This window comes from Homo sapiens, chromosome 9 (assembly GCF_000001405.40).
Source record: "Homo sapiens chromosome 9, GRCh38.p14 Primary Assembly".
Taxonomy (NCBI): Eukaryota; Metazoa; Chordata; class Mammalia; order Primates; family Hominidae; genus Homo; species Homo sapiens.
This window is the reverse complement of record NC_000009.12, coordinates 4,690,406-4,705,002: the sequence shown is the minus strand read 5'-3', so window position 1 is coordinate 4,705,002 and position 14,597 is coordinate 4,690,406. Positions and strand designations below refer to the sequence as shown.

The following is a 14,597-nucleotide window of genomic DNA, read 5'->3' as shown; positions in this document are numbered from 1 at the left end:
TTATGAAGGAAGTAGCAGGGACAACTGACTGAGGTCTGGGACACTCACACTGGGCTTCAGTTTTAATCCTGCCTCTATTTAGTAAAGCAAGCCTCAAGGAGAACAAAATTCACAATTTAGTAAAATTAAAAACTAGTCTACAGGATAAACCTAAAGTTAACTGTTATTATTTCTATATCCAAGAGGCCTTGGATTAGACCTCTCAAAACTAAGGATAATGAATGGTATTTGGCTTATTTCACACGATTGCTGTCAATTATTAAAAAAAAGAAATGAAAAGCTAAATGGTTACCCACACTTAAGCTTTATCAAAAATGACCAATATTATTGTTACATTGTCTCATTCTCCAAAAAAACAGCTTTAAGACCTTTTTCTAACAATCCAAGCCTAATTCTCTGGAACAGAGCTTACAATTACTCTATTAAGACTGGGCTCCAGTTTTCCATGGCACAACTTTTAATAACAGAATTGGCTGAGGAGATTCTCCAAAACTCATCCACCCATCTTCCTAAGAACTGTAAGATACTATCATACAGAGACTTTAAAAAATAAGAAGGAATCGGTATACCCGACCTAACCTACACTTAGATTTCATTGACTGTCCCATATTTTCATCTAGTAACATTCTCAACACATATGATTCACAGTCTGTGGTATAGGTGAATAAGCAGTGAAGCATAATAGAAATCCAAAAGTAGAATATTAGATTCATCACTTATTGTGTTGACCTCAGGCAAATTTCTTAAGTTCTATGAATTTCAGTTTACTCATCTATAAAAATGAATGAAAATGAATCACAGGGTGTTTGAGAAAATTAAATAATATGTGTGAAAGTGCTTTACAACATATAAACTGATATAAAAATGGGATGTTATTATTATGGTAAGATTTTTCTTCCAAACCTCTAAACTGATGATTTGGTCTTTCAGGTGGCCTCTCATTTTACTTCCCTCAACTAGTCGATAATCCTTTCCGCACATGTAGCAAGCATCTAACTGAAATTTTCTCCAGCCCTTGTATCCTTCAGAAGGACCACATCAGGATGCTCAAATTACTTACCATAAGGAATTGGTCTCCCACCATGAGGAGATTAGCCCAGCTTAATTAAATCTGAATAACCCTGATAATATCAGCAATACAGAAGTGTCAGAATTGTATAATTCTAGTCCCCCCATGACTATAAGGGATGCCTAGCACCTGATATCAGTTGCTATCTAATATATAGTTGCTATCTAATAACAACAAGGACTTACTTCTCTCAAACCAGAGGCAACTTCTTGATAATATAGGCTTAAGATACTATAATGTGTATCTTTCCCTCTTATATTTAGAATCAGTTACATCCTTCCAAAGTCTCTTTTCTCCTTCCCATGCATTATGTGACATTTTAATTGCAGGAGGTTTATATATTGGATTTCACAGTGACTTGGTCACAGAATTCCCCTGGAAAAACTACTTCCCTATGGGCTATTTCTTAGGAACTGAAGAGAAAAATCATCACTGAATTTAAATAAAATTAAGAGATAATCTGTAGGAATTTGTAGAGGGAATATTCTTTACATGTCTAACTAAGGGGGAACATTACTAATTATTTAAAAATCAAACATTAATTATTTCCATCCTTGAGACTTTTTTTTTTTTTTTTCAGCCAGAGTAGGCTCAGAGACTCCTGATAATAATATTTTTGACTGGGGTAAATATGATCAATCACTTTCCTTAAAGGACATACATGTAATTGGAATGGTGAAATTACAGTGAGATAAGGTCAAGCCACTGAAAATCCCAATTTTTAGCACTTTATGAGGTTTAAAACTAAATATAGGACTCTCCTCACATTGTCTTTTGAATAAGACTTTCCTTCTCACAATGTAGACAACAGATTAAACTGGCTAAAGCTGGTCTTAAAATCTTGGAGCCTGGAAATGAGAGATGACTGGGCTCTATTAAAGTGCTACTAGTAAAATCAAATGGGTAGGAATTATCTAATAATAACTTAAACTTGTAATCCTAACTAGCATCAGGCAGACCAGTGGTCTGATCATGTCTCCTTTTTGATGTAAATTTTTTCATGCTGCCTATATGACATGATTTTTTTTTTTTTTTTTTTTTTTTTGAGACGGAGTCTTGCTCTGTCGCCCAGGCTGGAGTGCAGTGGCTCGATCTCGGCTCACTGCAAGCTCTGCCTCCCGGGTTCACGCCATTCTCCTGCCTCAGCCTCCCGAGTAGCTGGGACTGCAGGTGCCTGCCACCACGCCCGGCTAATTTTTTTGTATTTTTTTTTTTTAGAAGAGACGGGGTTTCACCTTGTTAGCCAGGATGGTCTCGATCTCCTGACCTCGTGATCTGCCTGTCTCGGCCTTCCAAAGTGCTGGGATTACAGGCGCGAGCCACTGCGCCCAGCCGACATGGTTTTATCTTGATCAAACCACTGAAGACTTCAAAGAGGCTCAAACAGTTGGCCAGTATTACCAGATACAATATTATCAGCTACATTAATGTGTTCTAAAAATGTTATATCTGGTAGACCCAACATTTAACAAGAAAATACTAAATAAACTTAAGCAACAGATCACACTGGTTCCATGTGCATGTCCACTTTGAAGCTAATCATCCTAAAAAATTCAAAATGGCATAGTTTTAACTCAGGATGAGATGTTTTAAGGAAGCTCCTGAGGGAGCCATCTTGAAGAGTTTATGATTGAGATGATCAATAGCTAAGATTTGTTCTTAAGAATGGTTAGGTATAACTAATCACTACTACATTAAAAGGAGAGGAAATCTGGTATCTCTAAATACTTAAGAGGTGAGATTCAGCACCAAAACATGGCATGAAGTAAGATTCAACAGTTATCTTCTGAGGCAGGAATATTTAAAATAGTAGCACATATTAAAAAAAAAAAAGAGTGGGGCAAAATAACAAAAATTATGTGAATTAATAGGCTTATAAAACAAATATTTACTTTTCCAACTTACCTGTGGTAAGGATTCTAATAAACCTATAGATCCAACACCAGAATGGGGAACATGATTCTGAACTGTCATAGGTTGAAAACTTTGTGATTGAGAATAAAGTCTTACTCTTGACTTGAAAGCTTCAAGTTCATTTTTGAATGCTTCAAAATAACCTTCTTCCTCTGCCTAGAAAAAACAAAAAAAAAAACAAAGACTGTGTTCTTCAAGATTTCTAGACATAGTAAATTCCAGAAAGCATATAACAGGTTTGAAGTGGAGGAAGTAATGACAAGGTGAATAGTCTAAATATAGAAACCACCACGATCCCTGTCACATTTGTGAAAACTACCTGATTTATAGGAACATTAATAATTGGTTTGCTCCATTTCCTTCTGCTTCAGCAAAATAAGCTAATAAAAAACAACCCCTCCCTATGCATATGCACACAACTAAAAGAAAAGAAGGCTTTCTCTGTATTTTCCTTGACTTATCTAGATCCTTAACAGGATCCAAAATAGTCATTTAATCTGTCCAATTCATTCTATCTTCTTCCTACTACCAAACAATCAAGGGATATTCTTAAAACCTTTTAATTCTCCAACAATTAATGAGGGGGCACTATTACCTGTTCCTAGTAATTTTCTAACTGTATATTCCCTACTTAAAAGAGCTACGAAAACCAAATAGAATTCAATAGTCAACGTCATTATGGAACCATCTTGCTCTAGTTAAGCAAGTACCTTCTTTTCAATATTATGGAAAGAAAAAGTATGATAACTTAGGTCGAGGGAGTGGAACTCTTAGGCAACTCCCTATTGGCAGCTGCCTCTGTTTATGTTTCCTCTGAATATAGAGAAATGATACAGAGATTTATCCTACCAATAGAATGCAGGCTTTAAGTTCAAGTAGTGGAAGAGATCTTGTCAAATGGATTTTAGGTTGCGTAACAGGTTAAAACCTGTGGATTAGTTACTACCATCAGCTTCTATTGAAATAATGCAGAGAGTGTTCTGTGCTGCCATCCTATCTTCTTGTAAATTTAGGAAGAATTTCCTTAATTACATTTTAGCACCTCACTTTATAAGAACTTGTGTGGACACAGAGTATGTAATATCCATAAGGATTCTTTCTGAAAATTAAGAGGCACAATTGCTGTCCTCATTGCATGCTTAAGGTTTAGGGATTTAGATATAGAGTGATGACAGATTTTGTATTATTAAGTAATTTGTGGGCCACTTACTTAATTTCTTTATGCCAATTTCTTCACCCATAAGATAGCAACAGTAATCCTCATAAAATGTTATATGAATTTAATGAGTTAATACATGTAAAGTGCTTAGAATAGTCCCTGGAACAAAGTAAGCATACCATGAAAGTGATTATTTCATAATTTAAAAAAAAGTATTATTAAGCATACAATGTTAAGATTGAAGACCAGTGCCTTTCCGTTTTACTTTGGTAAAGTAAATGTCAAACAATATATATGATTTGGCCACATTCCATTATTTTATTAAACACCAGTTTAAACACATCCATTAATGTAAGATAAAAAGGAAAGTATGTTTTTTACTACTCTTAAGTGTCAAGTAAAAATTTAGAAGAGACCGGGTGTGGTGGCTCATGTCTGTAATCCCAGTATTTTGGAAGGTTAAGGCAGGAGGACAGCTTGAGCCCAGAAGTTCGAGACCAGCCTGGGCAACACAGTGAGACCGTGTCTCTACAAAAAATTAGCTGGGGATGGTGGCATGTGCCTATAGTCCCAGCTACCTGGGAATCTGAGGCAGGAGGATTGCTTGAGCCCAGAAGTTCAAGGCTGCAGTGAGCAATGATTGCACCACTGCACTCTAGCCTGAGTGACAGAGCAGGACCTTATCTCTAAAAACAAACAAAAGTTTAGACTAGTCACCAGAAGCAGCCTAGCTAAAATATCAAGTCAAGCATTTGCTATTAAAGTTCAACTGTTTCAGGAAAATTTCATATTTTGGTTGCATTTCAGAAGAGTTTAGGGTATTTAAGTTAGGACTACTGCCACATTGAGAGTTTTTTTTTAATATAAAAATATAATTTTATGTTTATAATAGGAAATGTTCATTGTAGTACATGAAAAAGAAAACGGAAATTATTTATAATTTCACCACACAAGTATAACCAAAGTTAAACTTTTGGTATACTTCCTTTTAACTTCTAATTGTATATGTTCAAATATATCCTATGTGCAGAAGAGCATGTAAAAGATATGCGCACAGTTTATTCAGCAAAACCCCCACTATTTACCCATAGAAATTAGGATATGGATCATTACTAGGATCCTAGAAACCAGTTCCCAAGAGCATTCCCCCTCCCTCCCTGAGGTTATCATTATTGTAACTTTTGTCTTCTTAATTATTCCTTTGCTTTTTAGTTTTACTGCTTATATATGTATCCTTCAACAATATATTATTTAGTTCTGCCTGTCACTAAAAAAATACTTTATAAAAAAATACAAAATACGAACATTGATACTAGATATATCCATTTAGCATCTATCTAAACAGATACATCACTCTGTGGTTTGTTTGATTCACTCTCTTGTTTTTCCATCCATGCTGATGTTGGCTAGTATTTTACAGAATGAATATACAGGTTGAATATCTGAAATGCTTGGCACCAGAAGTTTTTCAGATTGTCAGTTTTTTCAGATCTGGGAATATTTGCATTATACTTACCAGTGAAGATCTCTAAATTGAAAACACAAAATCTGTGAGTATTTCCCTTGAGTGTCATGTCGATGCTCAAACAGTTTTGGATTTTGGAGCGTTTTGGATTTTGGATTAGGAATACTCAACCTACACCACAATTTATTTATTGTTTCCAGGCTTTTAGCTATTACAATCTACTATGAACATTACGGCAATCTAGTACATATGTGTAAGAGTTTCTCTAGCGCAGCAGTTCTCTTTACAGTCTTCAAAATTATTGAGGACCCTAAAGAGCTTCTGTTTATGTGAGTTGTATCTGTCAGTATTTACTGTTAGAAATGAAAACTGAGGAATTTTTAAAACATTAACTAAAAATAACAATGACAAACTCATTACACTACCATTAATAACATTTTTATTTAAAAAAAAAGTTTTCCAAAACAAAAAAATTTAGTGAGAAGAGAGCTGCTTTTTCCTTTAATTTTTCTAAATCTAATGTCTGACTTTACAGAAGATGGCTAGATTCTCATATTTGTACTTCCGCATTAATCTCTATTGTACACTACTGAGGAATGAAAATGAAAATTAAAAATAACATCTTGGTATTATTATGAAAATAGTTTCGACAGAGAACCTCCTGAAAAGGTCTTGAAGCCCCTCCGGGTTCCTGGACCCCACCTTGAGAATCTACTCTCTAGGATGCATACACCTAGGAGAATTTCTGGGTGTTAAGGCAGGCACTTGTTCAACTTTACTAGGAAATTTTTTAAAGTGGTTGTTCCAATTTATACTTCCACTAGCAGTGAACGCAAATTCTTATTGCCCTACTTCTTGGGCAGCTTTTAAATTACTGCAAATCTTGTGAGTGTGAAAGGTACTTAATCTTTCTAGACATCTATTTTTCTTCAACATAGCCAACATCATCTAGTATGTACTGCTTCCTGTGAATTCATAGCGTAAGCATTTCTTCAGCTCATTACAAAAGTTCCATAAATATAATTTTAAAGGGTGCATGATATTCTATGTACCATGGGTATTTTTAACTATTCCCTTAATTGCTGAATTTTTAGGTTGCTTCCTATTTTTTCTTTATAAAAGTCTGATTTCTCATTAAACTGCTGAGTTCTACACATGAAGAATCCTGTATCTATTTTGCTCAATAATGCATCCTGAGCATCTGAAACAGCTGTGCTTTGCATTAGGCACTCAGTATTTACTGAATGAATTAATGATGGAACGTAAGTTTCCTGAATACACACATTCATTTAAATGGGTCTCAATTTCATATACATGCTGTAGTACAGCCTCTTATATAGCTCTTTTAAGTTTAAATTAGCAAGAAATTAGCAATATAAATTTTCTTTTCACAAGAAAATCTACAGAATTTAGCCTGTGGCATCCTGCTTGGATGCCTTCTATTGATATGAACAGAACAAAGAGGTCTCAGCTGGGACCAAATCTTCCCATTTATCAATATCAAATAACTACTTACTTTGGCTTTCTGGAAAAATAAACGAAAACACCCTCTTGGATCCACATTACAGTTTTTGGCCATTTCCATAATAAACTGCATTACAACAGCTTGATGTGCTATTTGTTCCATTAAAGCCCCTTTCTGAAAAAGATTTAAATGATATAAGAAACAAATATATAAATATATTTAATTGGCATACTGATTCAAATTTTGAATTTTTAAAATACTTTTGATTTTACTCTCTTAAGTTATAAGTCAAATACTTTACAAACATATAAAGAGTATATCTTAGTTTTTTTTTTATTATTTGTATGTGGACCAGAATAACTAAAGGAAGACCATGCTCTGAACTTGATTTAATACCATGATTACCGTCTGGATTTTTAAAATACGACTTTCAAATTAGTTTGAAAAGGATTATAGTAATATGAAAACAAGAGAGATGGAGGTGGAGTGGCAGAGAAAGCATAGTGGAAAAGTTTCTGTATGCTAACTGAAACAACAACAACAACAAAATCCCACATTAAACTCAAGTAGATCTGGAAGCAAAAAATGGTAATTCCATCTAATGACCTTCCTGCTTTCTTTTAAAGGACTTAATGTAGAAAACAAAACAAAACATCAATAAAGTATGAAATCAGATTTCCACTAAGGTTCCCAGAAACTCAAGGTTCACATAATAATACCTTCTCAGCTTCCAGGTGAAAACACCATAAAATAAGATATTTAGCAGTTTCTTCACATACAAGGTATGGATGGTCAGACAAAAATCTCTGGCTATCATCCCATCGACTCAACATACCTGTAAAAAAAAGAATTGAACCATAAGTGTCAAATATTTTCTTTCTTCCCATAAGGGAAGAAATACCAACCATTCTTAATTCATTAATCTCTCAATGGTATTTTTAAATGATTCTCTTTAAAGACAATTCATATTACCAGAGCAACAGATTATGGTAAAAGAGCAAGTGAGGGACAGTACTCTTTAAAGCAATACTCAGTAGACTGGAAATAGCTCCTAAAATTCACAGGAAGTTTTATTTCAGATAATTAATCAGGCCAGAGTGGCCAGTTCAATATTAAAAAGTCCTACATCCATGAATGCCCGCAGTCTTGGGCAAATTGAGAGTTAGTTATGTAAGCCATTTACTCATGATGTCTGTTATAAACAAAGTCTTTTAAAAATTAGTTAAGCATATTTGAAAATGGTTGTCATTTTGTTTCAAGGTGTCAAAGAAATCCAAATACTATTTAAGTTATATCTACACCTTTATCTAAATTAGCAGGAAATTTGGTCAAAGTCAATACCACCAAGAAATCACGGAACCAGCAAAGTGTTGACTTTTTAATGTTGTCCAGTCAGTCATAACTGAATAGATTTTTTTCTTTTCTTTTTTTCTCTTCTTTTTTTTCTCCATAAAGATGAGAGGCTTATTATGTTGCTCAGGCTGGTCTTGAACTCCTGGCCTCAAGATATTCTCCTGGCTAGGCCTCCCAAAGTGCTGGGATTATGGGCATGAGCCACTGTGCCTGGCTAACTGAATAAATTCAATATAGCAATGTTAGGTTTAGATTCCTTAGACTCATGCAAAGAAGTCTGGATATTCATGGAAATTTTGTAGAGCTGACTCAAGAGTTTAGCAGTAAACTTTTCCTGTAGGTGCAAAATGAACTCCTATATATTTAATTCCACATCAGTACACAAGAAAGAACAAAACTGAAGACAAATGTCCTACTGAGAATACACAGCAACAATGTGAGTCAATCAAAAATAAATGATTCATTTTCTCCTCACTTAAAAAAAGGGGGTGGGGCCAGCCACGGTGGCTCATGCCTGCAATCCCAGCACTTTGGGAGGCCAAGGCAGGCGGATCACCTGAGGTCAGGAGTTCGAGACCAGCCTGGCCAACATGGTAAAACCCTGTCTCTACTAAAAATATAAAAATTAGTTGGGCATGGTGGCAGGTAAATCCCAGCTACTTGGAAGGCTGAGGCACAAGAATCACTTGAACCCAGGAGGCGGAGGTTGCAGCGAGCCGAGATTGCACCACAGCACTCCAGCCTGGGCGACAGAGCGAGAGACTCTGTCTCAAAGGAGATAAGCTGGGCATGGTGGCACATGCTTGTAATCTCAGCACTTTTGGAGGCTGAGGCCAGAGGAATGGTGGAGTCCAGGAGTTGCAGGCCAACCTCAGCAACATAGTAAGACCCTGTCTCTACAGAAAAAGCTTAAAAATTAGCTGGGCATGGTAGTGTGCACCTGTAGTCCCAGCTACTTGGGAGTCTGAGGGGGCAGGATCACTTGGGAGCCTAGGAGCTAGAGGCTGCAGAAGGTATGATGGAACCACTGTGCTCCAGCTTGGGCAATACAGCGAGACCTCATCTCTTAAAAGGATTAAAAAAAAGGATAAAGACTGTAGCATTTTCTCATAGAGTATTCTAAGCTTTATAAAGTTATTTCCCCAACGCTTTGGACATAATGATTAGGTCATTTGAAGTTCTGAGAAACAGAATGATTATGGAAGTTACTTAAAACTACTTCTTAAAGTATAAGAATATTGCTAGGCGTGGTGTAATCCCCACTATTTGGGAGGCTGAGGTGAGAGCACACCTTGAGCCCAGATGGTGGAGGCTGCAGTGAGCTATGACCTCACCACTGCACTTCAGCCTGGGTGACAGAGCAAGACCATATCTCTTAAAAAAGCCTAATGATTCCTGGGACTCAGATTTAAAGAAAGCACAATCCTTATTTCTTATACTTGAACCCACAAAGTAAATCCTATGAAGCAGTTTTGCCTTAGCTTTCTTACACTTCTGGAGAGGTAATATTTTCAACTCTATCTACCATCCACGATAAAGCATTGCTCCTCTTGTTTACTTCTTCATGGCAGCATTGTGACTTACTGAAATACCAAAAGCCTTATCCATTCTGGTTTATTTTGCAGGAAGGATAACATGAAAGGGTTCCTGACACTTGGGGCCATGGGGAAGGGTATCATTAAATGTTAATTTTTTTTTTCTTTTTGTTGAGATGGAGTCTCACTCTGTTGCCCAGGCTGGAGTACAGCAACACGATCTCAGCTCACTGCAACCTCCACCTCCTGGGTTCAAGTAATTCTCCTGCCTCAGCCTCCTGGAAGCTGGGATTACAGGCGTGTGTCACCACGCCCAGTTAATTTTTGTATTTTTAGTAGAGACAAGGTTTCACCATGTTGATCAGGCTGGTCTCGAACTCCTAACCTCATGATCCACCTGCCTCGGCCTCCCAAAGTGCTGGGATTGCAGGTGTGAGCCACCACTCCCTGCCAAATGTTAATATTTTTTAACTACCTATTTAATACCTGAGACGAATTAACACTTGACATTGAAAATACATTTTTTTTTTAAATCTGAGAAATACTATCACTTGATTTCAAAAATGCACATTGAATTAGTATGAAATTGAGAAGTTCAGTTACAGGTAGTCGATACAGACCTTTGTGGAAAGAGTGTGGAATTTTATGAACAAAATAAAGACAGGTGGGGCGCAGTAGCTCACACCTGTAATCCCAGCATTTTGGGAGGCCAAGGCAGGAGAATCACCTGAGCACAGGAGTTTTAGGTCAGTCTAGGCAACAAAATGAGACCGTGTCTCCACACAAAATGAGATAATTAGCCAGGCATGGCGGAGTACACTTGTAGTCCCAGCTACTTGGAAGGCTGGGGCAAGAGGATTGCTTGAGCTTAGGAAATTGAGGCTGCAGTTGCTATGATCTTGTGACTGTAATCCAGCCTGGGTGACAGAAAATGACTCTGTTTCAAAAATAAAACACATAAGGAGAATCAACAACTCAGTGGAACAGCATATACCTCAAATTACTGATATTATTTTGGAATTTGTAAACAAACTTGTATACAAATGGAGAGTAACAATTTAAGACAGCGGCTGAGAAGACAGACTAGAGCTAAATGGCCCAGGTTCAAATACTGGCTTCACCATTTTACTACTGCAGTTCCCTTTATATGCCTCCATTTCCTCCTCTGTAAAATAGGGCTAAAAATAGTACCTAACTCAGGATTTTCATGACAATTAAATGCTATTAATTCATATAAAGCACTTAGAACAGTGCCTGAGACATAGTAAATACTCGATAAATGATAAGCACCCATTCAAAATGTTTATTTAGCTAATCCTTTGGTTAAGGATAATACAGTCATTTAAACTAGCCAAACAATTTCTCTGAATGCTTGGAAAACCTCACTTTGACAAGTTTAGATATTTTAATCATATGCTTTAACCTATATATTTCCCTAGTGAACGTCTAAATCTCAATCCATCATCAACCTTCAATATGCCACCTGATTCCTAAAATGGTCCTGAAATACACGTCCTTCCTTATTACTGATTTCCCTTTCCTCTTTCATTACACTTATAGAATTATTATTATTATTAATTAATTTATTTCTTTATCTTGAGAGACAGGTTATTCCTCTGTTGTCTAGGCTAGAGTACACTGGTGCAATCACAACTCATTGCAGCCTCAACCTCCTGGGCTCAAGAGATCCTCCCACCTCAGCCTCTGCAGTAGCTGGGACTACAGGTATAAGCCTCCACACCTGACGAATTTTTTTTTTTTTTTGTAGAGATGAGGTTTCACTGTGTTGCCCAGGCTGGTCTTGAATCCCTGGGCTCAAGTGATCCTCCAGCCTCAGTTTCTCAAAGTGCTGGGATTACAGGCAGAACCACTATGCCAGGCTTAGAATGATATATTTTAACAAACTACACTAATTCATTTTAATTTCTCTGTGTACTAAAAATCTCCCAGGTAGTTTGTGAATTACTTGAGGAAAGTTGTATGATCATTTCCCATATTCCTAAACTCCAGATCTCCTCTATTTCCAATCGTCTACCACCATATGCATTTCTACTGATATGCCTGCACGTAAACCCATCTTACTTGAAACCAAACCCATACTTGTCTCTCTGCCATCCTACAATGTTTCCTAGGCTCCATGTTACCAAATCAAGCATTCTAGAAATTCCTCTGACATTTCCATTTCTCCCACATCAAATTGACCACCAAGTCCTGTGGTTATACTACTATGATCAGTTAATACAGTGAATCACATTAATGAGTTTTCTAATGTTAAGCCATTTTGATTCTTAGGATAAACGCTTTGAAAAATTTTTTTCAGATTATAAAAATAAAGTTTATTTATTATGAAGAATTTTTAAAATCCGGAAAATAAAAGTTAGCTGTAATTCTACCACAAGAGATTACTGTTAACATTTTGATGTATTTCCTTCCAGGCATATTTTTGAATGACTTTTTAAAAAACCAAAATTAAGGCTCAGAGTGGTGGCTCACGCCTGTAATCCCAGCACTTTGAGAGGCCGAGGCGGGCGGATCATTTGAGGTCAGGAGTTCAAGGCCAGCCTGGCCAACATGGTGAAACCCCATCTCTACTAAAAATACAAAAATTAGCCAGGCGTGGTAGCAGGCGCCTGTAATCCCAGCTACTCGGGAGGCTGAGGCAGCAGGAACGCTTGAACCCGGGAGGCGGAGGTTGCAGTGAGCTGAGATCACACCACTGTACTCCAGCCTGGGGGACAAGAGCGAGATTTCGTCTCAAAAAAAAAAAAAACATTAAAATCATATACATTTTCTATTCATTTCACTTCATATGTAAGAGTGCTTTATATTAAATGTTTTTCAAAAATAAGATATTGATATGTTTTTTAAAAGCAATGAACAATTACATTGAAGAGGTTGTAAATATTCATAGTCAGAACAAACGAAAAAACTTCTATCATAGTATTTGAGCAAACTTTTATAGCTCTTGGTAAAATTTCCAGTGACAACATCCTACACAGATTAAAAAAAGCTGAATCACAGCTAACTTTGGCTGAAAGTGAAGATGATGTGCTCTGAAAATTAGATGACTCAAAAAGCAGCTCTGATGACCATAAAGCCAGTGATGTCAAACATGCATATAACTGTGAATATAACGGTTGTGAAATTTAAGAGATAAAAGCCTTTGTTTTTAAATTAATATTTTATATTTATAAAACGTGAATTAACTAAATTAATAAACTAAATACAAATGTAGAGGAAAAAGTCAGATTTCAATGCTTTATAATAGTCCATGATATATTGTACCATTTACCACTAGGTGGTAAATTCCACCTAATTGTAAGGGTAAAAGCAGCACAAGAAAGGCAGTCAACAAATTGTATAAGGGAAAAGTTAGGAAAAACTCTGAAGAATATAAGTACAAATAAGACCACAGAGAAACATGGGTGTAAAGCCCCTATAGCCCTATACAGCCCCCACACACACCAGGCCCGTGTCAACCAAGAGTCCAGAATGCAATCCAAGTCCAGAAAGCCTCCAACTGGAAGCTTTAATTACATCTCCTATTGCAGATGTGTTTAGAAGAGTATACCAGAAGCCATTATCCTAAGCAAACTAACAAAGGAACAGAAAACCAAATACCGCATATTCTCACCTATAAGCGGGAGCTAAATGATGAGAATACATGCACACATAAAGGGGAACAACACACACTGGAGTTTACCGAAGGGCGGAGGGTGGGAGGATCAGGAAAAATAACTAATGAATACTAGGCTTAATACCTGGGTGATGTAATAATCTGTACAACAAATCCCCAAGACACACGCTTACCTATGTAACAAACCTGCACATCCTGCACATGTACCCCTGAATTTAAAACAAAAGTTAAACAACAACAAAAAAACAAAATAAAGGAGTATACCAATATAGTCATCATTTTGGTAAGCTTTCTTCTTTCATCACAATAAGCATACAACAGAAATCTTCCATCAAGCAGGCATAGCCACAAATTTTCACTGTCTTGTGTCACACCTCTATCAACTCTGTGCCATAATTCAGTCCACAGGGATTATTATCTCATCATTCCCCATGACTACAAGTTGGTCCACTCTCCACTGATGGAACTTGGTAAAGCAGAAATTGCAGGTATTCCAGGTCTCTTGTTAAGATATATCTATTCCAGAGTGGGAAATAAAACACATGAACATTTTGAGAGCCTACTACCTTTGTAACATTCCTGGGGATCCAGTGTGCTGTGGCAAGTAATATATCTCCTTTGAAGTTAAAGACAACATGCATTTTCAGTAAGAAACAGGCACATTGTGACTCTGGGAATGGCTATTGGTCTGGCTGGGTGTGAAAACAGCAAGGCTCTGATATTTATTACAAGATAGTATATTGGAAGTTCACAACACGTAACAGCAAAATGATTGCTTATTAATCACCTGTGGATGTTAAGTCAGTTTTTTTCCTCAACTATCTCATTATTTGCACAATAGTTTCATAAATTCAGGGGTCGTGGTGGCATAGGTTTGTGATTATGCATAGATTCGACAGTGTAGACTCTCCCCTCAAGGATGTTCTAGTATCCTAATCCAGTTTAGCCACTGAACACCTAATTTACTAGTAGCGAAAAACACCAAAATCTCAATACGGCA

The 14,597-nt window shown here is 36.6% G+C and overlaps 1 protein-coding gene across 2 annotated transcripts in view; it reads right to left on the bottom strand.

The window, feature by feature from the left end:
• Positions 1-14,597, bottom strand: part of CDC37L1 (cell division cycle 37 like 1, HSP90 cochaperone) — a 28,831-nt gene that overhangs the window by 3,397 nt on the left and 10,837 nt on the right. The window contains exons 4-6 of one of the 2 annotated variants that reach the window (NM_017913.4): positions 7,792-7,907; positions 7,124-7,246; positions 2,975-3,139 (exon numbers count right to left, since the gene is read on the bottom strand). In NM_017913.4, coding sequence (NP_060383.2) covers positions 2,975-3,139; positions 7,124-7,246; positions 7,792-7,907 — 404 coding nt within the window. Of the gene's footprint in view, positions 1-2,974; positions 3,140-7,123; positions 7,247-7,791; positions 14,114-14,597 lie in introns of those variants that run through there. The other variant, XM_047423583.1, reaches the window with a different exon arrangement.